The sequence below is a fragment of the Homo sapiens genome, chromosome 1 (assembly GCF_000001405.40).
Source record: "Homo sapiens chromosome 1, GRCh38.p14 Primary Assembly".
In the NCBI taxonomy this organism is placed as follows: Eukaryota; Metazoa; Chordata; class Mammalia; order Primates; family Hominidae; genus Homo; species Homo sapiens.
The window spans coordinates 110,031,557-110,056,302 of NC_000001.11; the positions used below are offsets into that span (position 1 = coordinate 110,031,557).

Genomic DNA, 24,746 nt, shown 5'->3' on the forward strand with positions numbered 1-24,746 from the left:
GCCCAGTAGGTCTCAGCCTCATTTTACCCAGCCCCTGTTCAAGATGGAGTTGCTGTGGTTCACACATCTCTGACAAAAATACAGGTGGGATTATTCTCATTTTACAGATGGGGAAGGAAAAAAAAAAGAGAAGTGCATGAAGACACTTCTACAGCTTCTACTCTCTACTGGATTGTGCTTTTCGCAAAGTTTCCTAGCAAGTTAGAGTAGTGAGCTCTCCAGCTGTGCTTCTGCTCCTTCACATTTGGGATTCTTTTTCCTTCTAGATCTGTATATTCTGTCTTATGCATGCCCCATTCCATTAGTTAGCCATTTTTCTTTTTCAAAAATTTTTTTAATTTGATTTTTTTTTTTTTTTTTAGAGATAGGGTCTCGCTCTGTTGCCCAGGCTGGTCTCAAATTCCTGGGCTCAAACGATCCTCCCACCTCAACTTCCCAAAGTGCTGAGATTACAGGCATGAGCCACGGTGCCTGGCCCCTCAAAGTTAGCCATTTTCTTATTGGCTATTTTTCAAATTAGGTTGATCCCAACTTTACACTATTGAAAACACCATTGCCTGAATATTATCATACACCTATCTTTATCTAAATCTGATTATTTCCTTAGAATCTATTACTAGAAGTGGAATTATGGAACCAAAACCCTCCCTGTTCTAAATTTAGCTGAAAAATGTTTTTCCCCGGGTGATACAGCTTATGATAGGCACAGGAAGATAGGTAGGAGGAAATAGCAGTGTGGTGGTTTTGGATTAATTTATTAATTTACAACAAAGACTTTTTAAGCACCTACTAGGTTGGACCTCAGGGGAAATCACTGGAGAGTTGTATCACAGGGACTTTCTGGACTTGAGCCTGGGGTGTAAAGCAGGCAATATGTAAAGCTGGAGAGACAAAGATGGATAAAATGCCTTTAAGGATTTCACAGTATAACAACAGATAATAGTAAGAGTTATTATTACGCAACACTTCTAAGATGTCTGATGAGTATCTCAAACTTGATGTGTCCAAAACTGAAGTCTTGATCTTTCCTCTAAACCTGTTTTTCTTACTCTCGAGCTTACTTATTTATGAAAGTGATACAGCCATCCACTCAGTTGCCCAAACCTAGATCAAGGGGGTCATTGTTTATTTCCCCTACCCAGCTGATAAGATTCCAGCAAATCCTGTCCCCCTACCTACACAATATAGAAATATCAACCCAATGCTCCACTCTGGTACAAGCACCATCATCTCCATCTACATGGTCCCCTAACATGTCTTGCCTTATCCACTCTTGCAACTCTCCAATCCCTTCTCCAAAAGCAGCCAGATTGAACTTGTAAACATCACACCATAACATCTCCCTGGTTAACACCCTCGAATGGTTTTCCATTTCACTTAGAATAAAATTCAAACTCCTTCCCACTACCTTCAAGGCCCTGCATTCTTCTGGTCCCTGCATTATCATTATATGGCTCTATCAATTACTATCCCTCCCTTGGCTCACTCAATTCCAGACACTAACATCAGGGCTTTTGCATTTAGCTGTTTCATCTGTCTGTGTGCCCTTCCTGGAACTTTGCAGGGCTTCTCCTCACTTCTTTCAGAACTCATCTAAAATCACACCCTCAGGCCTGCCTTCCTTGGGCAGCATGCTTATATTATAGCCACATTCTCCGCCTCCACCAACCCCTGCCCCCCGCCCCACTGCCACCTTTTAACCTCTCAATTTTTGTTACTTCTGACAAAGATTCTCTTCTTTGGCCAAAACTCTAGTCAGGCTCCTGTGAGTCCTCTGCCTACTAGGACTAACCGTTTGGGCTTCCTTTCTGTCCTTGTTGAATCCAGTTTGTGCAGGGACTCTCCACTCTTGGCGTCTTAATCCATTTTTTGTTGCTATAACAGAATACAAAACACTGGGTAATTCATAAAGGAAAGAAAGTTATTTTTTGCAGTTCTGGAGTCTGGGGAGCCCAAAGTCGAGGGGTTGCATTTGGTGAGGGCTTTCTTAAACTGCATGGTAGAGAGCCTCTCACGGTGAGAAAGCAAGAGCATGTGTGCCAGCTCAGATCACTCTTCCTCTTCTTATAAAGCCACCAGTCCCATCACAGGGGCCCTACCCTGACGATTTTATCTAATCCTAATCACCCCCTCAAGGCTCCACCTCCAAATACCATCAACATATGAACTTTAGGATTGAGTTTCCAACGTATGGAATTTGGGGGACACAGTCAAACCATAGCACTCGGTATCTGACCACCCTCAACATCTTAGCACCCTGTCCTGCTTTCAGCAATAATCCTGTTAGGTCAGTTTAGCAAGAAACTTCTTATCCTTGATGTTTCTCTTAGTAGTTTTCCGTCCACTGACCCTCATCCTGCTCTTTGGTTATAAATCCCCACTATATCTTGTTGGAGTCAGAGTTGAGTCTAATTCCTCTTCTTCACTGCAAGATCTGGTTGTAGTGGTCCCTGTAACTATCACCATGGGCTCTCTTACATAAAGTCTGCCTTACCATCTTTAATTAGTGCCATGAACAAATTTTCCTTTAACACTTTTCAGCATTTATTTCTCTATATTTGTCTATTGTTTGTCTGACCCACCAAGCACTGTTATGTACCGTGACTGCAGACACTTGTTCCTCATTTTATCCCACTGCTTGGTGCACAGGAGACATTTATTAAATGTTTGTTGAATGAATGAATGACAAGCACTTGTCACAACGGTAACTCTGTGAAGACTAGGATCCTATCCATTTTGTTCATTACAAAATTCCGCCTAAGCCTTGAACAAGGCTATGAGTTATAAGTGCAAAGCGATTTAGAGGAAGGAGGGGTAACTAAACTGACTGAAGAAGCTAAGGGAAGCCTCACAGATAAAATTACATCTAAACTGAAACTGAAAGGAAGGTGGAAAACTAAAAAGATCAACAAGGGAAGGACTGCAGACAGAATATCGCGAGGTATTGGTCAGCCAAGATGGCTTCTAACACTGGCCGCCACACTTAATATGGCGGCCAGGGAAATTTCCTGGAGAAAATCACGCGAGAGTTGCATCACGGCGGCTGTGCGCGAGTTAAGCTGGGGGTGTGGAGCAGCCAAGATGGAGCCGGCAGTCGGCGGTCCGGGCCCACTGATCGTGAACAACAAACAGCCCCAGCCCCCGCCACCTCCGCCGCCGGCAGCCGCACAGCCACCACCCGGGGCACCGCGGGCCGCCGCGGGCCTCCTGCCTGGGGGCAAAGCCCGCGAGTTCAACCGCAACCAGCGCAAAGACTCAGAGGTCAGGAGCTTCGGGGGGCGAGGCTCGCACCGGGTCGGGCGGCGCCGGGGGTCCCGGGCCCGGGGCCACTCTAGGGGCCAGGTTGGGCTTCCCGGAGGGCTCGGTAGAGTCCGGCCGAGAACTGTCACTATACAGCGAAAGGAGCAGGAAGCGAGGCTGGCAGCTCCTGGGGTCTGGAGCATGAGTCCTTGCTCTAGCTCCGCCGCCCGGGAGAGCTTCCCGTGGCCGGCGACTGCTGGTTTGCTCCCCTGGGCCCCGACTGTGGGCGTGGCCTCGAGGCCCTAGCCCCTGGGGAAGCCGCTCTCGCCCCAGCTCGGGGGTGAGGAGTCGGGGGTCTTGGTGCACTCCAGGGCGCTGGGCTGCCGCGCCCCCAACCTAATCATCTCGGGCGTCTGTCCCTGGCACGCGGGCTCCAGCTCCTGGGTCCTGCCGCTCGCAGAGGAAGGCGCGTGTGGGCAGGGAAGGCGCCGGCGAGGATCTGGAAGGAACTTAGAGCCGGACCGAGCTAATTATCATTGAGAGTAGAGTAGGAGGGGGAAACATGTCCTGTTCTTCTGACCTGAGCCAGATCAGGCCATGGGTTAACAGTACCTGTGGTGGGCTATTGTGCCCAGTGCGCCTGATACTGAACTGTTAAAGATGAGAAATAGACATTTTAAGCATGCGTTAGGACCCAACATTCCTTCCTGTCTCGCTAGTGAGCCGTTCCTGCCGTTCTGGAGATGGCATAGTCTGGAACTGACTAGTAACCTCACCCCAAGTTAAGGAATTCCTCCCACTGCCTCCTTTTGCAGAATTCATGAATGAAGATACTCATGTCGCGGAGTTTTAGGGCTTCTTAATGAGCAGGTTCCCAGAGCACTTACTATGCCATCTCCTAGATTGATCAGCAGCCAAACTGATCAGCCAAGTTAATGAGAGGGAATTCCTAGTTGTCCAAGCATAATGTACCAATTCATACCAAAGAGCAATGATACTACCTTTAGACCTGTGGAATCAGTTCCTCAGAAGCTTTTATTTTTTGTTAGCAAGGCTAAACCCCTGAGAAAACATGTCAACAATTGGCAAGCCCGAAGTAGACGTAATTTGAGCTTGGAGTGAATTATTTGAAAAAAACAAAAACACTGACCATTTAGGAGCCCTGGCATGGTGGGATGACGGACATCAGTGTTAACTACTCAGTTTTTCAAGTGGAAGATTACGAAAGTGCAGGGGGGTGAACCTACCTTCATCATGAGAGGAGTTATCATTTTGAAAAATGGTTTAAAATTTTCCAGAGTAGCTACGAATGGTCAAATAGATACCCTCTGACGAATTGTAATTTCTCTTTGTACCCTTTAATTTCCACATAGAGGCCGGGTGCAGTGGCTCACGCCTGTAATCCCAGCACTTGGGGAGGCCGAGGCGGGCGGATCACCTGAGGTCAGGAGTTCCTGTCCAGCCTGGCCAATGTGATCAAACCCTGTCTCTACTAAAAATACAAAAATTAGCCGGGCGTGGTGGCTGGTGCCTGTAATCCCAGCTACTCAGGAGCCTGAGACAGGAGAATTGCTTGAACCTGGGAGGTGGAGATTTGCAGTGAGCCGAGATTGCACCATTGCACTCCAGCCTGGGTGACAAGAGCGAAACTCTCCCCGTCTCAAAAAAAAAAATTTCCTCATAGACTCATTACATGAAAGACCAGTCAAATGGACACATTTAAGCAGAGACCTGTCTAAATCCATTTCTTTATAGAGAGTCTGATGCCATGATCTTTCTTTAGTCATAGCTGAAATCGGTAGTTTGGGAGCCTGATCAGTGAATGCCTGGAGGACAGGGAGGCTCACATTTGATGAGAGCCCACTATGTACTACATAATTTTGATTAGTCCTTAAAAATCTTCAAAGTAGATTTTCATCATTGCCATTCAATGAATGAAGAAACCGAAGCTCAGTAACTTGTGAAAGTGTACACTGTGTTATCTCTGAACACAACGTGGAGTTCTTGTTTGTGGGTATGTTTTTTGTTTTGTTTTGTTTTGTTTTGAGACAGAGTCTCTGTCTGTCTCCCAAGCTGGAGTGTAGTGGCGCGATCTTGGCTCACTGCAACCTCCACTTCCGGGGCTCAAGCGATTCTCCTGCCTTAGCCTCCCGAGTAGCTGGGACTACAGGCACGCCCCACCATGTAAAAATATATTTTTAAAAAATTTTATATTTTTATTAGAGACGGGGTTTTACCATGTTGGCCAGGCTGGTTTCAAAGTCCTGACCTCAAATGACCCGCCCACCTCGGCCTCCCAAAGTGCTGGGATTATAGGCATGAGCCACCTCGCCTGGCCATTGTGGGTATGTTGTGTCATTTTGTGGCTGGTCTTTGTCTTCCCAGGTAGACTGTAATTAAACCTAAGGACTTTACCTATTTGTTTCTCACTTCTCTCTTCCCAGTACAAGGCTTCCAAGATGGTGTGTTCTCAGTAATCACCTATTTCCAGCAGGAAAAAGATTGTCTTTGTCACATTTTCTCTTATGTGTGGGAGGGAAGTTGATCTGTTTGGCGGCTGCCTTCTTTGTCAGTTCTCACTGAAATTTGAGACAAAGGTGGGAAAGCTGAGGGTTTCAATACTCATTTTTGTCCTGAGCTGTTGACAGTCCACTAGCCAGAAAGAAGTTAAGACTTCTGGAATCATAGCATCATATGGAATGGTCATTTACTGCACAAAATACATAGAAACCTTGTATTTATTCATTTAACAAATATGTGTGTATAGACCATTCATTCATTCACTTATTCATGCCAGGTACCATGCTGGACCTTGTGAAATCATTGGTAAGTTAAATGGATGATGTTCTTGTTCTCAGGGAACTTACAGTCTTGTGGAAAGGCAGACAGTAAACACATCCTATAATGATAAGTTATGATAAATGCTCTGAAGGAAAAGTATAGGATACTCTGAGAGGTTTTAGGAAACAAAATGTGAAAAAACATAAAAAAGTGGAGGCAGTGGTGTCCTGTAACACAACAGCATCTCGAAGCATGAGTTTCTTTGATAAATAGAATGATCCTTTTTCCTAAAGCTCTCTCCTCTTGTCAGCAGGGCTATTCGGAGTCACCAGACCTGGAGTTTGAGTATGCTGACACAGACAAGTGGGCTGCAGAGCTCTCGGGTAACGCACAGACCTTTGTGTTATTTGGGGGTGGTTTTTTCCTTATTGGTCTTTAATAAAATTAATAATGAATATCATTTAGGGCTTCATTGCTTTCCCTAGTTCTATCAAATATATATATATATATATATATATATATATATATATATATATGTATAAAACATGTTATTTGATTCAAGCCTTGTGTATCTTATAACTTTGTGTTGTCCTTTACTTTTATGAAGCTGGCTAGAGCCCAGTCCCATTGTGAGACAGTGATGTTCCTTGGCTATCCACTGTGACCCTGACAGTGGTCTCTCCTCCAGCAATGGGTCATGAGGGATGCCTGCATCTGTGCCCATCTGCTGCTGCCACTGCCACTCTCATGTAATGCGAGGTCGGTGTGAGCTGCTTCTCCAGCCTCTACAATACACATCCTGCTCAAGAGGTAGCAGCCATTTGAGAGATGCATCCCAGGTGGCCGTCAGCCCTGGCATGGCATGGTGGGATGGATGCACATCGGACTGGAAGTGTCCAGATGGCATTCTGGCACTCTGGTTGTCTCTATTGTGCACATCAGAGCACTAAGATCCCCTTCATAATTAGAGAGCTTATTCCAGGAGTCACTATGACTCAGGGGCAGAGTTGAGAGTGGAAGCAAATGCCTTGCCTTCTCTGCACTTGTGAGACCTGGTGTGCAATGCAGACATGGAACCAATGGTGACGAGACTTTGTTCTGACAGAGCTTTACAGCTACACGGAAGGGCCAGAATTCCTGATGAATCGAAAATGCTTTGAGGAGGACTTCCGGATCCATGGTGAGATGATTTCCCACACTTCTTGCTTCCTTTGCCCTGCATAACGAGAGCTGCAGGTTTCTTTTAGGCATCTGAATGACCTGAGTCATCCTGGAACAGCCTGAGAAGCCTGCTGAACCCTGATGGTTCAAAGCCAGATACATGTAGAGTGGGCTTGTGGCACATCGGTGGGGGCTTTTCAGAATGTGCATATTAGGGGAGAAAAAAAAATCATGTGATTAAAATTGCACCCAAAATACCAGCGTTTCAGTTTGGAATCAAATTCATAGAGCAGCAGTATGATCTTACCACTTACATAGGGTGTAACTTATCTTTCTGGTCCTATGGCAGTCCTGAATTTGGTGAGTTAACATGGGTCCATGCCATTGTGAGGATTTTTCTAGGCTCAGGTGTAACTGGTTTCTTGCCCTGCAGTGACAGACAAGAAGTGGACTGAGCTGGATACCAACCAGCACCGGACCCATGCCATGAGGCTCCTGGATGGCTTGGAAGTCACTGCCAGGGAGAAGAGACTCAAGGTGGCTCGAGCAATTCTCTATGTTGCTCAAGGTATTGAGTGGACCTCCCCAGGGTTCCCTGGCACCTCTGCCCACTCAGATGCAGGGAGGGGCTCAGTGAGTTGAACCCTGCATTGCAGGCACGTTTGGGGAGTGCAGCTCGGAGGCAGAGGTGCAGTCCTGGATGCGCTACAACATCTTTCTCCTCCTGGAGGTGGGCACGTTCAATGCTTTGGTGGAGCTTCTGAACATGGAAATAGAGTGAGCATTTTTGAGAGGCTGAGTAGGGAAGGGGAGGCTGGGATGGGAAGGGGGACAGAGCTTGCAGAACTAACTGGCTTTGAGAGGGTTAAATGGGGCAGAAGTTCTGGTCCCAGGCTGTGTTCTGACCACCTGGGTTGAATAACGGAGTTGGTCACTTACACCTTGAAGATTAATGGAGACTAATGACAGGTCCCTGCAGCTCCCTGATGCCAGAGTTTTTACACCAGACAGTGCAGGCCCTGCCCAGGCCTGGGGTGCTCCTCAGAAGGAGACTCTTCACTTTGAGCTCTCTTTTGAACCTGCAGACACTGCTGTGTTCGCCCTGCAGTTTCCGCCTTGGCAGGAGGCCAGGCACAAGACTGACATATGGGCTCAACCAGTGCCTGGCCTTGCCTGTGTCACCTTTGTCCAGTGGACAGGTCAGCTGCTGCTCATCTAAGGATAACACCATCAATGATAAAGCTAAGACAGCTCATTGAGTGCCTGTGTGTCCCGGGCATTGTTCTCAGAATATTACATGTGCTAATTCATGTTAAGGATATAGGTACTACTGTCATCCCCATTTTACAGATGAGGAAACTAAGGCGCAGTTAGAGCCAGGATTCAAACCGTGGCAGTCCAGTGCATGGCTGGGTTTTTTGTTTTTGTTTTTGTGTTTTTTTTGTTTTTGTTTTTGTTTTTGAGAGAGAGTCTTGTTCTGTTGCCCAGGCTGGAGTGATATGGCGTGAACTTGGCTCATTGCAACCTCCACCTCCCGGCTTCAAGCTATTCTCCTGCCTCAGCCTTCTGAGTAGCTGGGTTTACAGGTGCCTGCCACCACACCCAGCTAATTTTTGTATTTTTAGTAGAGATGGGGTTTCGCCATGTTGGCCAGGCTGGTCTCAAACTCTTGACCTCAGGTGATCCACCCGCCTCGGCCTCCCGAAGTACTGGGATTACAGGCATGAGCCACCATGCCCAGCCATGGTCTGGTTTCTTAACCACCGTGTCCTGTGGCCTCTTGTGCAGTCCAAGCACGTATCACAGCATTTTGTTTCCCCATTGGTCAGTACTTGTCAGGGACATCACTTATCTTCCTTCTTGGAGGAAGATGCTGACTCTCAAAATCTCCTGCAGCAACAGTGCCGCCTGCAGCAGTGCTGTGAGGAAGCCTGCCATCTCCCTGGCTGACAGCACAGACCTCAGGTGAGGCGAGCAGCAAGCCTGGGCTCCTGAGCGTTAGTCAGAGATGAGATCAGAGCAGGGTGTGGGAGGCTGTCTGTGGGTGTCATTGCTGTGTGTGCTTCTGTACACATCATCTGCATGTGTGATGGGCTCAGTGTGAATGATTAGTAGGAACTGCTGAGGGCTCGTCCTAGGTGGGACTCTGGGTTGAGACTCCCAAAGGCAATCCAGGGTCAAGTGACTTACTAGAGCCACAGCTAAGTGTGGCCTCCTACTCACACTGTTACTCAGGACCTGGTCGTGGGGTATTTTGTATTTGGATGAAACACTTGATGGTGTTCCCTGGACTCCCACCTTCTTGTGTACACAGCTTGATGCTCATCTTCATTGGGTTAGACCTGACAGCTTCCTAATGTTTCATGGCTGCCCAGGAGCTCACAGCAACTGCTGACCACCAAGATCACCCCTCAGTTTTTGAGGGTTGAAATCTGGCTCTTTTTATGAATTTGGAAGTTTTTAGACTAGGTGGTTGTAGTGTTGCCTCCCGGGTGTTAGGATCCCTGGGCGTCACCTCTCAGCTCCTGCTTTCCATTTCCTCATCATAAACCCTGTTTTTGTTCTCACTGTGACCCTGTTCTGCTTTGACCCTACAGCTCGCTACCACCTCTGTGGTTTTTTTCTTTTCAGGAAGCTTAGGGTGGTAAATGCTTTTGGCCATTCTTGTTCATACTCATTTATTCAGATACCATTTATTAATAGTAAGCCCCTGCTTTGTGTAAGCACTTTGTTAGACACTAGGGTGCTCCTTTGACCCCCCCATCCCACTCCATTGTGAGCTGGCTCTTGTCCTCAGGGTCCTGCTCAACATCATGTACCTGATAGTGGAGACCGTTCATCAGGAGTGTGAGGGTGACAAGGCTGAGTGGAGGACCATGCGGCAGACCTTCAGAGCCGAGCTGGGTAGGACCCTGGGGATCCTCTCTAGAGGCCCTGCCTGGAAGCTGAGGCGGAAGGCTTTGGGAGGGTCCTGATACCTTTGTGTCACCTCCAGGCTCCCCGCTGTACAACAATGAGCCATTTGCCATCATGCTGTTTGGGATGGTGACCAAATTTTGCAGTGGTCACGCCCCTCACTTTCCCATGAAGAAAGTTCTCTTGCTGCTCTGGAAGACAGTATTGGTGAGCACCTCCTTGGAGGAGGAGAACGGTGCTATGGGATGGGCAGTAGGGAGACTGTTCCTTGAATATCCTTTTGAATATTGAATTATGTGACTGTAAAACTGCTTTGGTAAAAAAAATTATTTAAAAAGCTGCTAAAAGGAGATGACAAAAGAAGGGCCACTATTGTCCCATTGCAGCCAACGAGGACATAGGCCTTGAGTCAGAGTAGGCTGTTGGCTCTCTGACCCCGGAAGCTGTTTTCTGTCATAGAACAGCTCTCCCCCAGACAAGTTGCCTCTCAGCAAGCAGCTCTGGACCTGGAGTTTGTAAAGGGATTTGAGGCAAAGTTACAGCTGATGTAATTGGGGCCCTGGTTGGATATCACTTAAAGGGGCAAGAGTGAGCCCTGAGCCAGCCTCCATTTTCTTCAGGGTATGGTGTCAGCCCGACTCTGTGTCTAGGTAGGGAGGGACTGGGTGCCAGAGTGGGCCGTCCAGCACACTGGGCTTGGAGCGTTGTTAGCAGCCAGGCCATGCCAGGAGGCCTTCCCAGGAGGAGTGACATGGGGAGGCGGTGGAGGTGAGTTGGGCCTCTGCTACACTGGGGCTCATCCTTCCTTTCAGAATGGGTCAACTCTGGAGCCAGGGCTCAGTAAGTATAGGATTTCTTAAAAGTCATTGACACATTTTATCTTGGCCACACATTCTGTTCTTCATAAAGCCTTGCTAAGGCTAGAGAGGAAAGCTGAATTGCTCAGAAACAGTAAAACTAAGCAGTCTAAAGCTGGATGTTGCTGGCGTTTCTGCTTCTTGGGAGATGTTTAGATGAAGCTTTTTTTCTTCTTCTAAAGTTGAGCAACCAACAGTATTTCTAATTTGACTTTGAAAGACTTGCATGTACAACTTGTGAAACATGAGTCTCACCAACTTTTCTAGGAACTTGCAGGGTTAGGCTCTTTGCTTCTTTTTAAATTGAAGAGTATGTCATAGGTGCAGAGTTAGTGTATCTGCACTAGGGTCAGTCAGCCTGCATCTCCACTCTTTCCTTGTTCCTTTTTCTCCTTTCCCTTGCGGATGTCACGGAATTCTCCTTGGGAGTGGCTTCAGTCCATTGTTCAGGAGTTGCCTGGGTCTCTATAAAGACATGGGTCATGATGTCATGAATGTTTCTGAGCCTGACACAATGGTCAGGGGCCAGCCTGTGGACACATTGACCCTGGCTCTGCTTCCCTGTCTGTGATGCAGTGCACGCTAGGCGGCTTTGAGGAGCTGCAGAGCATGAAGGCTGAGAAGCGCAGCATCCTGGGCCTCCCCCCGCTTCCTGAGGACAGCATCAAAGTGATTCGCAACATGAGAGCAGCCTCTCCACCAGCATCTGCTTCAGACTTGATTGAGCAGCAGCAGAAACGGGGCCGCCGAGAGCACAAGGTGAGGACGACAGAGGTCCCTGTGACTCCTGAGGGCCCTCAAGGTGCATGCTTGCAGCAGCACAGTCCTTGGAGGAGCAGGGCTGCTGGAAATGATCTCTGATCAGCCAGTCAGAATCATGCCTCCACAGCGAGGATACTTTGTCCCCAGCTCTGGTCCAGTGTATGGTGAGTGCTCAGCACGTGGTGCTTTTGAGGGACTGGAGCAAGAAGTAGTTGATGGTTTGGCCCCCGTCTTGACTCCCACTGTGGTTTTTCCACTGTTCTTGCCTCTACTGGACACCTGTATGTGCTGTGTCTCCTCTGGCTGCACTTCCCTGGTCTGCGTCCTCAGTTGGCTCTTGTCTCATCTCCCTTCCCTGGTTTCAGGCTCTGATAAAGCAGGACAACCTAGATGCCTTCAACGAGCGGGATCCCTACAAGGCTGATGACTCTCGAGAAGAGGAAGAGGAGAATGATGATGACAACAGTCTGGAGGGGGAGACGTTTCCCCTGGAACGGGATGAAGTGATGCCTCCCCCGCTACAGCACCCACAGACTGACAGGCTGACTTGCCCCAAAGGGCTCCCGTGGGCTCCCAAGGTCAGGTGAGTCTCAGACCTCCAGAGCACTCATAGTTCCTGAGGCAGAGCCCTCACACCCTCAGGCCTGCCACCTGGCCTGTGTCACCATGTGTGGTCCTCTGCAGGGCAGGCTGACCGTGGCTCTGGGATGAGGCTCTCTTAAAGCACCCTGTGCTGTCCTGAGGGTCTCAGGGAGGCCGGCCTTGCTGGTCTCACACAACATGGCCCTCATGTGGCTACTGAGGCAGTAATTGGAGTTAGCTCTTGGTTAGATGTGCTAGTGAAGGGGGATAGGAAACAAATAAAAACAAAAGCATTTAAGCAAACATGTCTCCACCCATCCTGGGGTTGTGTATGGTTTTTAACAAAAATGATAGATTAAGGAAGAGTTTCTTTAGAGCCATAATGAAAATGTTTGAGATATATGTGGGTAAATCGATGGATGGGACGGTACCTGGAGATATATAAATGGTGTCTGTTTGATAGGCAGCAGCTTAAGAAATAGATGAACATGTGAGAGGATATAGAAGTCGCTTTCTTGATCCAGGTAAAGCCTCAGTTTTCAGTGATCTGTGAAGGGAATGCAAAACAGATCATCAGAAAATGCAAGGTATGCTGATTGTTTGGGATAGGAAAAGTGAGCTATATGAAAAATCAGTAGCCTATAGCTTTAATTGTTTAAAAGTTTTAATATTTAAGAAAGTCTGTTGACAAACTTGTTCATACTATCTGAATAAAGCATGTTTTTAAGTTTGATATATCCCTTTAATTTTATGAATAAACTAGTTAACATGTATTTCCAGGTTACTGATCCAGCAAAATTATAAGAAACATTAAAATTCTCTGAAAATTTCAGTTTTTTCCCTTTTTTCAAAGAGAAAAACAATTATAGGAGACTTCTCCTGGCTTCACAGTTTCTGGATGCTGTGTTTTTGTTAACTGTAACACTTTGAAATAGCATTTGCTAAAAACCTTTTTTCTTTCTCTCTTTTTTGGTGATGTGGCAGAGAGAAAGACATTGAGATGTTCCTTGAGTCCAGCCGCAGCAAATTTATAGGTTACACTCTAGGCAGGTGAGTAAAAGCCGAGTTCATTTTGCTGTTAGCTCTCCCGGCCTTTGGTGTTTGGGATCCCAGGTGATTTGATGTCGAGGCTCAACACAGGGCCTTCTTTATTCTCCAGTGACACGAACACAGTGGTGGGGCTGCCCAGGCCAATCCACGAAAGCATCAAGACTCTGAAACAGGTGAGTGGCTTTGGGTGAGCTTTTGGCTTGTTTGGTCCTAAGTGAGTAGAGTGAAACCAGCCTGTAGGGAGAAGCCTTTTAAGACTGTTGTCTGCCTGCAAGAACCTGGGGTAGAGGCCGGGGTGGACTTTGCAATAACCTTGCAAACAGTCTTTCGTAAGTTTTGCTTGTTTTATTATAAGTTTTACTTGTTTTAGCTGAGCTTTTGTTTGGGACTGACTGGGAAGTCTTTAAAGATTATATTACCTGACCACCGGGCACCAAGGCATGCACCTGTAGTCCCAGCTACTCAAGAGGTTGATGCAGGAGGATTGTTTGAGCACAGGAGATCAAGGCTACAGTGAGCTATGATCATGGTCCTGCACTCTAGCCTGGGCCACAGAGTGAGACCCGGATTCTTTAAAAAAAAAAAAAAAAAAAAAAAGGATTATATTACTTGACAGTTGTTGAAATTCTAAAGAGCTCAATAAATAGCCCTCCTTTTCCTTGCCCACGTTCTCAGGCGGTTGAAATAGAGGAGTAGGCAGATGGAGATTGTAATGCCAACTTTATAGCTCATAGAGCCATGGAGAATGAGGCTTAAGAACACAGCAGTAGTGTCCTAATACGTTGTTCCAGAATTAGGCAGAGTTACCTACCAGTCCCAGGCAGTGTGGGGAGGCTCTGCCAAGCTTGGTGGCGGGGAGGAGAAGAGAGCAGACTCTCAGCAGGCAGACAGGTTCTAAAGAGAAAAGAGAAGGGTGAGGACAAGTCCGCCCTGTGTCCCCTCCCATACTCTCCGATCAGAGAAGGGAGGAGTGAGTGTGTGGACGGGGCAGAGAGAGATGAGGGGTGTTTCGCAAACCCCTGTCCCTCCACACGGGAGAGAACATTAAGAGTGGGGAAGAGGCATCTCCCCTAACAGCTATCTGGAGTGAAACTGTTTTTATGTTTTTGAAATATATTTTTGGAATTTGTAGTACTAAGTGGTCTCTCTGCAGCTAGGCTTTTTGAGTACTTGATTTTGCTTTCAGTTTTTCTCCTGTTGCTGTAGCTATCTGAAAGGCCATTTCCCTCCTTTAATTTACTTTTTTCTTATCTACCATGGGCTTCTTACTGTAGTTGCAAGAGGAAGGGGCCCTTTTAGAAAAATATTTTGGGGCCAGGCATGGTGGCTCACGCCTATAATCCCAGCACTTTGAGAGGCCAAGGTGGGTGGATCACCTAAGGTCAGGAGTTCAAGACCAGCCTCACCAACATGGCAAAATCCCATCTCTACTAAAAATACAAAAATTAGCCAGGTGTGGTGGTGCACACCTGTAGTCCCAGCTACTTGGGAGGCTGGAGCAGGAAAATTGCTTGAACCTGGGAGGCGGAGGTGGCAGTGAGCCAAGATCATGCCACTGCACTCCAGTCTGGGCAACAGAGGAAGACTTCATCTCAAAAAAATAAAAATAAAAAATATCTGGGGTTTGGGATTTTAGCTAGGGATTTTTGTGGTGACTTAATCCTCTTTCAGAAGACTGTGTTTGAAGACAAATGTGTGGGGATTTTGCTAGAGTGCAGGGAGTTTGGCCAGAGAATGTTTTCCCCAGCCCTTCTTTTCCCATCTCTCCCACCAGCACAAGTACACGTCGATTGCAGAGGTCCAGGCACAGATGGAGGAGGAATACCTCCGCTCCCCTCTCTCAGGGGTAAGTTGGAGGTCCTCAGTCCGGGCGCGGTGGCTCACGCCTGTAATCCCAGCACTTTGGGAGGCCGAGGAGGGCAGATCATGAGGTCAGGAGATTGAGACCATCCTGGCTAACATGGTGAAACCCCGTCTCTACTAAAAAAAAAAAAATTAGCCAGCCGTGGTGGCGGGCGCCTGTAGTCCCAGCTATTCAGGAGGCTGAGGCAGAAGAATGACGTGAACCCGGGAGGCGGAGCTTGTAGTGAGCCGAGATAGCGCCACTGCACTCCAGCCTGGGCGACAGAGCGAGACCATCTCAAAAAAAAAAGTTAGAGGTCCTCTTCAGCCCCCGGGATCCCCAGCTCTTCCCAGGCATTGTGCTGGGATTAGACCACAAGGTTGCCCCAGGCCCTGCCCTCAAAGAGCTCCCAGTCCACCTCCCAGTGCACAGGCTGAGACACGTCTAGTGCAGGGTTAAGAATACAGACTGAGTCAGGAACCTGCCTCTGATGCCTGGGTCCACCACTTTATGGATGGCAACTTAGGCAAGTTACTGGGTCTCTCTATGCTTTATTTCCTTGTCTGTGAAATAGGAATAATAATACCTTTATAGGGTTATAATAATAAGGATGAACTGAGTTATTACAAGTAAAATGCTTGGCACATTGTTTGTGTTCAGGGTTTGCTGTTATCATCATTAACATCATTATGTACATCACTGTTTACAGGTTTTCCTCCAGCCAGCTAGGAAGCTGGCTCAGGAGATTGTATTCTGGGCTGGGGTTTTATGCTTGTACTCATTATGTTAAAAGGGAGAAGAAGAAGTTGAGCAAGTCCCTGCAGAAACCCTCTACCAAGGCTTGCTCCCCAGCCTGCCTCAGTATATGGTGAGTGGTGCCTGCAGTGGGACACTCCCACTACACTGGCCTTAGAGCAGGCCCTGCCGTCCTCCTGCCACCTGCAGACCAACAGGAGGACTGCTCAGAGCTTAATTTTGACCCTGGGCTCTCAGACCTGTGTCTGAATGGTCTACTCTTCCCAGATTGCCCTCCTGAAGATCCTGTTGGCTGCAGCACCCACCTCAAAAGCCAAAACAGACTCAATCAACATCCTAGCGGACGTCTTGCCTGAGGAGATGCCGTGAGTATCATTCTGTGAATGAAGCAGGTGGGGCAGAAGATAGATGGAGAAGGGCAAACATTTTCCTCTTGTCAGGTTGGTTGTTGTTGGCCCAGCTCTACAGGTTAAATGTAGGTATTTTTGACCCAAAAAAAGGAAACTACGAGATTAAAGAGTTTCACTGGTTGGGGAGATGGCTTGGTCCTGTTGGCCTGGATTCTAGTGTAGACTCTACCACTGAGCAAACTCCTGAGTGAATTGGGGAAAGTCATTTCCTCCTCTGTAAAATGAATGGGGCCACCCTGGACATTTCCCCAAAGCCCCACTCTCCAGCTGTGATTGAGACACCCAGGATGAGGAGGGTTAGTTTGTAGACAGCTTGCCAGCAACAGCTGAACCTGTGCCAGGTATAGAGACATCCCTTTTCGCCAGTGATTGGGCACGCAGAATGCTGGCAAATGTCTCAGGGCGATAGAGTGAGATTCTTCAGAGCTCTTCTGCCCTGTGCCCTGTACTTGTCTTTCATGTGAGAGTCCAGATTGAGATCATGTTCTACTTTGAGAAGGACCTGGACCTTGACCTGATCTTCTGCCTGCCTGGGCCACCAGCCCTGAGCCCAGCTCCTGGGTGGCTGTGGCCCCGGAGTATGGCAGTGATGGCCGGCTGAGGGAGGAGGCAGGGGTTGGCTAACACCAGAGGGAGGATCACAGAACACTAGGCCATCATGTGATGGTCCTTGGAAAAAAGGTTCTAGAGTCAAATACTGTATATTTGATTCATGGATTTCTCTTATAAGGAGGAATTCCTCTTACAAAGATGTACAATGAGAAGTCCTGAATTAAGAAACCAATGTAACTCAGTGCTTCCTAAATTTATCTTACTCCAAAACCCTTTTTTTCCATGACATGAAACTTGCCAATATCCTGGTATTCCACAGAACACATTTGGAGAACTCAGGTTAATATGGCAGCAGAAGCTTAGGGGAGATCTTGGAAAGGAGAAGAAGTTCATTTTTGGAGGAAAGGCAGAGAAACAGACTGAGAATGTATTTGAGGGCATCATGGGGAAGAAATAAATTGTGCGAGGCTACATTGCTTGGGAGGTGGATGGGGGAGCCCTCGGCTGACTTCTGAGATGTCCTTGGGGTGAGTGGGGAGGTAGGAGTCTTTGCCCAGGGAGGCTCCGGAGTCCATCTTTTCTGTGGGCACCTAGAAATGAGGTACTGCGCATGCTGGTGGCTTACCCAGGCAATTATGTTTCCAGCACCACAGTGTTGCAGAGCATGAAGCTGGGGGTGGATGTAAACCGCCACAAAGAGGTCATTGTTAAGGCCATTTCTGCTGTCCTGCTGCTGCTGCTCAAGCACTTTAAGTTGAACCATGTCTACCAGGTACCCACAGGGCTTTCCCTCCTGTCCTGTGGGCTGGGGCCTCGGGCACTGCTGCTCCTCCAGCCCACAAGAACGGGGGCCTTGGCCTTTGACCCACTTGAACTCTGCATGAATGTTCTAAGACATGGCCCTTCAGCCAAGGCCTTTCATCCCTGGAGGAAAGAGGGCAAGGTCCCAAGGGCCGCGCCTTTTTTTTTTTTTTTTTTTCCTGTTGGCTTCAGTTTGAATACATGGCCCAGCACCTGGTGTTTGCCAACTGCATTCCTTTGATCCTAAAGTTCTTCAATCAAAACATCATGTCCTACATCACTGCCAAGAACAGGTGATGAGGGCCAGGGACCATGAAGGGGTGGATATGGTCAGACGGCAGAGTTCCCAGCTGGTATTTCCCACTGTGTCCATTTTTCCAGCACCTACGAGCCAGCACTGTGCTAGGCATCAAGACATAAAGATAAATGAGACATGGCCTCTGCCTGTGGAGAGCCCACTGTGTCAAATCTGAGTCTAGCTAGTCCTGCCCCAGGTGACTTGGTCTGTGCCTGGGCAGGAGGGTTTTCATCCCAGGATCTAGTACTTTCCTCCCTGTCCCTTCTGTACTTTTTTTTTTTTTTTTTGAGGAGTCCATGGGCTGCTTGCTGTCTCTAAGGGGCTCGGCCATGTGCCTTGTAATGCCCTATCTGCTGACTCTTAGCCCCTGCTGTTGGCCTGGTGCCAGCTGTGCTTGACATTACTTGCTCGTCAGTGTGATATACCACAGGGCGCCGGCCAGACCCTGTCTCCAGAAAGGTTTGGCATAAATTAGTTGCCCTGAGCTATCTCCTCCCCCGCCCCACATTGATTGCTGTGGGGGAAGCTGTGAGGGTCTCTTCCCCTTACAAGATCAACAAGCTGGCCTCTGGCTACAGGGGTGCTTTACAAGTTCTCTTGTAACAGATATTTCCTCATCTTATAGGTGGGGAAACTGGGGTGGGACACATCAGGTAGATTCCTACTTCTGCTCCAACAAGTGAGGGAGGAAAGCTGGGAGCTGGCTCAGGCACGGCTGCTCCACCAGGCCCTGGGCCTTTGCTCATGGTGGGCATCTGGTTCCTCTCCCCTCTGCAGCATTTCTGTCCTGGATTACCCTCACTGCGTGGTGCATGAGCTGCCAGAGCTGACGGCGGAGAGTTTGGTGAGTGGCTGGGCTCTCCTCAGCTGTCCTTTTGGCACCAGGGTCAGTGGGTAGAGAGCCTGCCTACCCCAACACTGCAGGAATAGAGGTGTCTCCCGCAGGTGAAATCACTGTGGAGTGCCCGGCTTTTAAAGCACTGTAAGTGTACAGAAGGGCCAGGAGGAGGGCTCTTGCAGAGCAGAGAGATTTGGATTTAGGGATTAGTCAGGGAGTGTGGTCTTCAGGGGCTGCTGATCCAGAGCTCACCTAGTAGAGGGCTTCTCTCCCTCAACACTGGACTCGGCAGTAGGAGCTCTGGGGCAGCCCAAGGCCACAGCTCCCAGTATCATGGTTCATATTTCCTGCAGGAAAAGTCTAGGGAGCCTCCCTCTTCCCCTAGTCCCCTGCCAGCTTCTGGGATGGAGTCCTGGGGCTGCTCTGAGAGCAGGGGATTCCTGGTAGAGGCCTGGAGACCCGGCTGTCCTGAGATCATGTGTGAGGGACTTTTGGAAACTGCTGCACACACTGCAGCCATGAGGGCTGATTGTTCCTGGGTTTACCCTGCAGGAAGCAGGTGACAGTAACCAATTTTGCTGGAGGAACCTCTTTTCTTGTATCAATCTGCTTCGGATCTTGAACAAGCTGACAAAGTGGAAGCATTCAAGGACAATGGTAAGTGAGTCAGTGTAGTCAGCAGGCTTGGAACTTGGAGCTCAAAGAAGAGTGCTGGGAGCAGGGAGTCCCCAGGGTGGGGCTCACTGTGCCTTCTCACTTAACTTTGCTGTAGCCGTATCCTTGCATTTTAAGGGCCAATTCCCAGTTCCTTGATGAATTGAACTGGAAGCTGGAAGAGGCCCAGTCATGCACTGAAACAAATCTACATTTATAGAAGAACTTTTTCCATGTCGTCTTAATCTTGATTGGTAACATAATCAGGGTTCTGAGAATCTTCCTTAACTCTGGGTCTGTGGATGCCTTTGGGGTGGGGAGGTCCTTGAATCCTCTGATAACTGTGTGTACATGTACACCGGAATGTTTCTGGAAGGAATCCATAGCTTTCTTCAGATTCCAAAGTGACACATAGTTAGGGTGACCAACCATCCTGGTTTGTCTGGAACTCTACTGGTTTTAGCATTTAAAGTCCTATGTATCAGGAAACTCTTCAGTCCAAGGGAAACTGGGATGGTTTGTCACCCTGACAGTAACTTCCAAAGGGTTAAGCAGCAGTGTGACCTGGGATGTATGCATTTATTTTTGTCTTCAACTTGGGCTGCTTGCTTGTTTCCCTTCCCAGATGCTGGTGGTGTTCAAGTCAGCCCCCATCTTGAAGCGGGCCCTAAAGGTGAAACAAGCCATGATGCAGCTCTATGTGCTGAAGCTGCTCAAGGTACAGACCAAATACTTGGGGCGGCAGTGGCGAAAGAGCAACATGAAGACCATGTCTGCCATCTACCAGAAGGTGCGGCATCGGCTGAACGACGACTGGGCATACGGCAATGGTGAGACTCTGCACTCAGCCAGATTTGGGTGGGAGTGTGTCGGGAAAAGTGACATCTTTCACTCCCTGCCCGTGGTACTCAGGTACTTCTCTGCCCTGAGCTTCCCCCCAAGGAACAGGAAGGAGCCCAGCTCCTGCTTTTGTAGCATCAGGATGGGCACTCTAGGAAGGACTTTGAGAAGCTACCCAGCCTTGGCATCTGCGATCATCCCCATCTCTCCTTGTACCTCCAAGTCATTCCTTTTCTAGAAATTGTCATAAGACTGTGTCCCCTCTTTTCATCCCCATTTTGGCCACCTAAACTCTTACAGCTCTTGACTGACTTCCCTGCCTCTAATTTCTTCCCCTCCATCAGTGTCTCAGATTTCCCTAGTGATCCTTTTTTACTTTGATGTTTTTTAAAGATAGGGTCTCGCTCTGTTGCCCAGGCTAGAGTGCGATCCTGGCTCACCACAACATCTGCCTCCTGGGCTCAAACTATCCTCCTGCCTTAGCCTCCTGAGTAGCTGGAACCACAGGCACATGCCACTGTGCCCACCTAATTGTATCTTTTTTATAGAGACAGGGTTTCACCATGTTTCCCAGGGTGGTCTTTTTTTTCTTTTGAGACAGAGATTCTGTCGCCCAGGCTGGATTGCAGTGGCACAGTCTCAGCTCACTGCAACCTCTGCCCCCCAGGTTTAAGCGATTCTCCCCCCTCAGCCTCCCAAGTAGCTGGGACTACAGCTGCACGCCACCATGTCCAGCTAATTTTTGTATTTTTTGTAGAGATGGGGTTTCACTGTGTTAGCCAGGCTGGCCTCGAGTTCCTGGCCTCAAGAGATGCACCCACCTCGGCCTCCCAAAGTGCTGGGATTACAGGCATGATCCACTGTGCCCAGCCTTCTCAGGGGGTTCTTGAACTCCTGGGTTCAAGCGATCCACCAGCCTCGGCCTCCCAGAGTGTTGGGATTACAAGCGTGAGCCACTGCGCCCGGCCCCCTAGTGAATCTTTTCAACATGCAGATCCTGTGCTGTTACCTCCCTGAGTAAAATCCTTCATTAGCTTCCTATTTCCCTTAGAATTAGATTCAGACTCAGGCAGGGCATGTGAGGCTCCCTCGTCCTTTTTCATTCTCCTCCTCTGTAATCTGACCCAGCTTCCTTTTCAACCTTGTTACGGGCTGTCAGTCCAGCCTCCATCATACCCAGAGCTCCAGGCACAGGGAGTGCTCAGTCCCTGAACATAGCCGTGTGGTTCCCACTACTAGGCCTCTGCAGGCACTCTTCTTTCGCCCACAGTGTGTCTCCCCTGCCCACCTGGGCTGCTCTGTGTGTGCGTGTTGCTGCGTTGTTGCGTTTCTGGAATATACCACCATGGCTGAATGACTGTGTCTGTACTCTCAATGCCCTGTGAATGTGTGCAGGCCCACAGTGGCACACGGTACCTGGTTGGGGAGTTGAGAGAGAATGAGCAAAGGAGAAGATCTCCAGGTTCCTCCCTCTGACCCCAGAGAGCCAGGGAGAATGCCACTTTGAGAGAAATGTGTTGTACACATGGTTCTCCCTCTCTGGGTCTACATAATCCCTACAGTATAAGCCTCTTTCTCAGTACCTCTGGCTTTTCTGCTTGTACTTGACTCTCCTTTGGATCTAGGAAGGAATTCCTGGCATCTTTCTGAGGATGAGCTCGGAGGTATCCTGCTCTTAGTTGACACTCAATATTCCTGGCCAGTGAATCCATGGGGAGCTGCTACAGGGCATGGCTCCTAACGGTGTTTCTTCCTGCTTTGTCTCAGATCTTGATGCCCGGCCTTGGGACTTCCAGGCAGAGGAGTGTGCCCTTCGTGCCAACATTGAACGCTTCAACGCCCGGCGCTATGACCGGGCCCACAGCAACCCTGACTTCCTGCCAGTGGACAACTGCCTGCAGAGTGTCCTGGGCCAACGGGTGGACCTCCCTGAGGACTTTCAGATGAACTATGACCTCTGGTTAGAAAGGGAGGTCTTCTCCAAGCCCATTTCCTGGGAAGAGCTGCTGCAGTGAGGCTGTTGGTTAGGGGACTGAAATGGAGAGAAAAGATGATCTGAAGGTACCTGTGGGACTGTCCTAGTTCATTGCTGCAGTGCTCCCATCCCCCACCAGGTGGCAGCACAGCCCCACTGTGTCTTCCGCAGTCTGTCCTGGGCTTGGGTGAGCCCAGCTTGACCTCCCCTTGGTTCCCAGGGTCCTGCTCCGAAGCAGTCATCTCTGCCTGAGATCCATTCTTCCTTTACTTCCCCCACCCTCCTCTCTTGGATATGGTTGGTTTTGGCTCATTTCACAATCAGCCCAAGGCTGGGAAAGCTGGAATGGGATGGGAACCCCTCCGCCGTGCATCTGAATTTCAGGGGTCATGCTGATGCCTCTCGAGACATACAAATCCTTGCTTTGTCAGCTTGCAAAGGAGGAGAGTTTAGGATTAGGGCCAGGGCCAGAAAGTCGGTATCTTGGTTGTGCTCTGGGGTGGGGGTGGGGTGTTTCTGATGTTATTCCAGCCTCCTGCTACATTATATCCAGAAGTAATTGCGGAGGCTCCTTCAGCTGCCTCAGCACTTTGATTTTGGACAGGGACAAGGTAGGAAGAGAAGCTTCCCTTAACCAGAGGGGCCATTTTTCCTTTTGGCTTTCGAGGGCCTGTAAATATCTATATATAATTCTGTGTGTATTCTGTGTCATGTTGGGGTTTTTAATGTGATTGTGTATTCTGTTTACATTAAAAAGAAGCAAAAATAATTCCCGTTGGCTTGTCTACAGGAAATATGGCCTCTACGTATCTCCTCCAGGTCTAGAAAGTGGTTTTTTCTGCTAGCATTGCTGGTCAACGCTTGTCCTTGTCAAGCTGCCTGCCTTTCCCATCCTGGGGGAAGAGGAGAGAGAGTTGGCATTTATCCAGTGTAAGTTAACCCCACAGTAATCTGGGATTGCTCTAGCCCAACTCCAGGGCACTAGGTTACTTTACTGACACATTGTCCTGCACCCCTGGGTTTGCTGTAATTTCAGTAGGAGCCCCAGGTTTCTCTGGATCACATCACTGAGCTGGCCTCAGCCAAACCAGTGTCAGTGCTATGGAGGGAGGGGCTAGGTCAAAGCAAGGGGGTCTGCTGCTCTAGGTCCTCCCTGGGGCAGGTGGTTGGGACTGAGGGGAAACTTCAGTACTCAGAGCCTAGGAAGCAGACCATCAGGAGTCAGGTTCACGGTGGGAAAAAGTGTTGGAGGGCCCAGGAGCCCCCTGTGGCTGAGAGAAAAGCAAGGAAAATCTTTGTAGTAGGTGTCAGTGGACACCTGGCGCCTCCACTTTGGCCTCCAGACCCCTGGTTTCATCTGCCTGAGAAGATATTAGTGTTTTGATGCTGGTGAAAGGAGTGTTTCCTTTTTAGAATTCCTGGAAGCTCTTATTTTACCTGTAGGCAGTTGTTTTGTAGGTTGTTAAATCTCCAAGGGGTCTTGACTTGTAAAGGAAACATGTTCTGGGGAGCATCTCCCCTTCTTTGGGTCTTGTGTTCATGCCTGCCTGGCCTGGGACCTGCTGAGCCTCAGGACAGGCCTTTTGATGTGCCAGCATGGTTAGGGACAGCAGGGGTGGAAGGCAGCAGTGTACTCCTGATGGTCACACAGCTGTGAGATGGGAAGTCCCATCTGTGACTGATGGGCCCTGTGCCCCAAAGTAACTTGTACAGGACAAGGGAATTGACACAATTTATGTGTGGATGATGGATTTTCTGCTATTTCTTTCCAGGACTGACAGGAAATATGTATCTTGAGATTTCAATTAGGGAGAGATGGATTTTTCACATTCTTACTCTCCCATGAAGCCTGAGTCACTGAAACTGCGTGGTCGAGGCCTGTCTCTCCTCTGACCTGCAAAAGAGAATGCAGGACTATCAAAGCTGCAAGGGCCATAAAGCCTGGGCAGGCAAATCCTTTCAGCTGTAGGCCCAGGAGCCAGCCTGGGGAGAGGAAGGGGCTTCTCACAGCCACAGAGTGTATTAGTGGCAGGTTGGCCATTTGAACTCAGGTCTTTGTACAGAAATGTCTTTTGGAGCCACACAGTTTTTGTGGCTTTTTAAATCTCATATGGGTCATGAAATGGGCAGAGTACATGAAGACCCTTTGTACTTTGATTGAGTTACATAAAATGTTGTTTATTGCTAAGCAGGGTCAGGGTCCACTGCTCCTTCAATCCACCGAGGGACAGATTACCCTGAGGCAGTATCACTCTAAGGATGGGAGCTGTCCCTTGTTAATCGTAAGAGTTACCACTTATGGGTTGCCAAGTAGGTACCAGGCACAATATTAGATGCTTCTCAAAGCCTTATTTTCTACAAAGCCAGCAAATGCTGAGTACTTACAATGTGCCAGCCAGCGTTCTAACCACTTGATGTATAATATCTTAC

At 48.6% G+C, this 24,746-nt stretch overlaps 1 protein-coding gene and 1 long non-coding RNA gene across 7 annotated transcripts, besides 3 other annotated features; one reads left to right on the top strand and one right to left on the bottom strand.

Moving 5' to 3' along the window:
• The first annotated feature begins 20 nt into the window (after nt 1-20).
• On the top strand, nt 21-23,085 carry STRIP1 (striatin interacting protein 1). Of its 5 annotated transcripts, NR_073071.2 has the most exons (22): nt 3,068-3,261; nt 6,335-6,404; nt 7,127-7,201; nt 7,616-7,750; nt 7,839-7,959; nt 8,268-8,381; nt 9,079-9,147; nt 9,980-10,086; nt 10,178-10,305; nt 11,532-11,714; nt 12,083-12,300; nt 13,284-13,349; nt 13,459-13,522; nt 15,124-15,195; nt 15,986-16,060; nt 16,216-16,313; nt 17,556-17,682; nt 17,904-18,004; nt 18,787-18,853; nt 19,400-19,504; nt 20,127-20,331; nt 22,109-23,085. NR_073071.2 is itself a non-coding variant. In NM_001270768.2 (21 exons), the coding sequence occupies exons 3-21, from the start codon at nt 7,162-7,164 to the stop codon at nt 22,354-22,356; spliced, it is 2,229 nt and encodes a 742-aa protein (NP_001257697.1). In that variant the 5' UTR covers nt 21-84; nt 6,335-6,404; nt 7,127-7,161; the 3' UTR covers nt 22,357-23,085. The 5 variants fall into 5 exon arrangements, 4 of the variants coding, with proteins under 4 accessions (NP_001257697.1, NP_149079.2, XP_047288891.1 ...); NM_001270768.2 differs by lacking the exons at nt 3,068-3,261; nt 8,268-8,381 and adding an exon at nt 21-84; NM_033088.4 differs by lacking the exon at nt 8,268-8,381.
• LOC105378895 (uncharacterized) lies at nt 740-3,883 on the bottom strand. Of its 2 annotated transcripts, none has more exons than XR_947693.3 (3): nt 3,853-3,883; nt 1,793-1,875; nt 740-881 (listed from the first exon to the last, which is right to left on the bottom strand). It is a non-coding gene; the product is annotated as an uncharacterized LOC105378895 (long non-coding RNA). The 2 variants fall into 2 exon arrangements; XR_947692.3 differs by lacking the exon at nt 3,853-3,883 and adding an exon at nt 2,600-3,080.
• Nucleotides 2,743-3,132: an enhancer, noted in NCBI's record as "active region_1460". NCBI's record gives its function as "activates an Ori minimal core promoter by ATAC-STARR-seq in GM12878 lymphoblastoid cells {active_cell/tissue: GM12878}" and the evidence as "EXISTENCE:reporter gene assay evidence [ECO:0000049][PMID:35858748]".
• Nucleotides 3,133-3,352: a silencer, noted in NCBI's record as "silent region_1165". NCBI's record gives its function as "represses an Ori minimal core promoter by ATAC-STARR-seq in GM12878 lymphoblastoid cells {active_cell/tissue: GM12878}" and the evidence as "EXISTENCE:reporter gene assay evidence [ECO:0000049][PMID:35858748]".
• Nucleotides 3,593-3,662: a silencer, noted in NCBI's record as "silent region_1166". NCBI's record gives its function as "represses an Ori minimal core promoter by ATAC-STARR-seq in GM12878 lymphoblastoid cells {active_cell/tissue: GM12878}" and the evidence as "EXISTENCE:reporter gene assay evidence [ECO:0000049][PMID:35858748]".
• Nucleotides 23,086-24,746: the final 1,661 nt, after the last annotated feature.

Coding starts and splice junctions, on each gene's coding strand:
- STRIP1 (NM_033088.4), top strand. CDS start 3,082: ATGGAGCCGGCAGTCGGCGGTCCGGGCCCACTGATCGTGAACAACAAA. Junction 10,087..10,177: donor GACCTTCAGAGCCGAGCTGG/GTAGGACCCTGG, acceptor TGTCACCTCCAG/GCTCCCCGCTGTACAACAAT. Junction 16,314..17,555: donor GTCTTGCCTGAGGAGATGCC/GTGAGTATCATT, acceptor TTATGTTTCCAG/CACCACAGTGTTGCAGAGCA.